At 38.8% G+C, this 2,344-nt stretch overlaps 1 annotated feature.

The window, feature by feature from the left end:
• Positions 301-595: a silencer, noted in NCBI's record as "tiled region #1735; K562 Repressive non-DNase unmatched - State 24:Quies". NCBI's record gives its function as "represses a minimal TATA promoter and a strong SV40 promoter by Sharpr-MPRA in K562 cells {active_cell/tissue: K562}" and the evidence as "EXISTENCE:reporter gene assay evidence [ECO:0000049][PMID:27701403]".

The following is a 2,344-nucleotide window of genomic DNA, read 5'->3' as shown; positions in this document are numbered from 1 at the left end:
CTGTCTTTACTTTAATCTCTTAATCCTGTCATCTCATAAACTGAGGAGGATGTATGTTGCCTCAGGACCCCATGATGATTGCGTTAACTGCACAAATTGTAGAGCATGTGTGTTTGAACAATATGAAATCTGGGCACCTTGAAAAAAGAACAGGGTAACAGCAATGTTCAGGGAACAAGAGAGATAACCTTAAACTCTGGCCGCCAATGAGCCTGGCAGAACAGAGCCATATTTCTCTTCTTTCAAAAGCAAATGGAAATATCACTGAATTCTTTTTCTCAGCAAGGAACATCCCTGAGAAAGAGAATGTGCCCCTGAGGGTAGGCCTCTAAAATGGCCCCTTTGGGTGTGGCCATCTTCTGTGGTTGAAACTGTAGGGATGAAATAAGCCCCAGTCTCCTGTAGGGCTCCCAGGCTTATTAGGACGAGGAAATTCCCACCTAATAAATTTTGGTCAGACCGGTTACTCTCAAACCCTGCCTCCTGATAAGATGTTATCAATGACAATGGTGCCTGAAACTTCATTAGCAATTTTAATTTCGCCCTGGTCCTGTGGTCCTGTGATCTCGCCCTGCCTCCATTTGCCTTGTGATAGTCTATTACCTTGTGATGTACGTGATCTCTGTGACCCACACCCTATTCGTACACTCCCTCCCCTTTTGAAAATCCCTAATAAAAACTTTCTGGTTTTACGGCTTGTGGGGCATCACAGAACCTACTGACATGTGATGTCTCCCCCAGATGCCCAGCTTTAAAATTTCTCTCTTTTGTACTCTGTCCCCTTATTTCTCAACCCGGCCGACGCTAAGGGAAAATAGAAAAGAAACTACATGACTATCGGGGGCAGGTTCCCTGATACAACAGTACTCAAAAAAGTGTTTTCTAAATTTTTATTCCATATAATAAAGAAAATGGGATGATAAAGTATATGTGCTTTTATGGTAATAAATGTAAATTAAATCTATATTGTATGTTATTTTCTGCTTGAAATCAAAACACAGGCTATAAAGTTTCTACTTAAATTGCCAGAAGATTAAAAGTATTATCCACTTTGGATCTACTTAAACTTGTCATGTTTAGTGTATACAACAGAACAGAATAGCTTAGAAATATAAACTCTTCTGTACTCAATTTATCTCATCCATACAGCTACTTTGGATGAGGTCTGTACTATGCAATTTCTGTTTAAAAGAGACACCCAGACTTAACAGCAGATATTCTGAGCACCTTGGACCCTTCAAAAGTGGATAAAACACAGTCAATAAAAATTTTAAATAAATACTTGTCTGTCAGTTGATCTTCATAATAACATGCAGGATACTTATTATAAATTAGGGATCATTCACATTTATTTTGTTTAGGTCTTATTTGATATTACCATTTTCCAATCAGTGAAGTAATATTGAAACATATACCTTATGTCCAAAAAAACATCATTTTTTGGGATATGGAAATACATTGTCCATTTAGAGTTCTTTTACAGCAAGCAGGTGGTCAAGGAAAATAACCTGATAAGATTAATGAAGGCGATATTAAACTATGCATGAAAATCAGAATTATAAACATGTACTACTTAACAGAAGATCTTAACTCATAAGATTTCACTACAGTGTAACCTTTCTTTTTCCTAACCCTGGCCACTAAATATGCCCAGAATAGTAATTGCTTAGCTATCAAAAGCAATTTTGCTGAAATCAGACCCAAGAACATGCTGTTGACTTATGTATATCTTGAACAAGTTGAAATATTTGTCTCTAGATCAATTTGTCTTTTAGCCTCTCACAGTTCTCCCCATTCTTGTCACACAGGACTTACATCTGTTCTTACTGCCCTCTACAACCAGTTCTACAATAAAACCAACCCCTCTCATTGGAGGATGGCTAAGAAACTACCAGTCATTTATGGAAGCTCTTTTTAGTGCTCATTACATGTCAGTGCATATCAATATAGTACAAGGCATCAGGAGATCAAAATGTAAATAACACAACTCTTGCTTTTAAGGAGCACCAGTTGAGCAGAAAAAATTCCCCATCTCAATGTTGGTTCAGGAAGAGGCTTGGGTTCAAGATTTGATGAGGAGCCTGCAGGAAGAGAACTATGCCAATGGGTAAGGGAGGAAATATGTAAGATCTGGTTTGAGAGATGAGTAAGAATTGTGGTTACAGACAAGGGGAAGAAGGATGAGGAACTCCCAGCGAGTGGCTACTGCATGTGGAACTACACAGAGGTGTCAAACAGCTTGAATGTGCAGGTTTGGCATGGGTGGAATACAGGGGCGAGGGAGGGAATGGGTGAAATATGCATGTAGAGGTAGACAGGGAATTGTGTATAGCAGTAGAGTGTG

This window comes from Homo sapiens, chromosome 8 (genome assembly GCF_000001405.40).
Source record: "Homo sapiens chromosome 8, GRCh38.p14 Primary Assembly".
Classification (NCBI taxonomy): Eukaryota; Metazoa; Chordata; class Mammalia; order Primates; family Hominidae; genus Homo; species Homo sapiens.
This window is presented reverse-complemented; position numbering and strand designations above follow the sequence as displayed.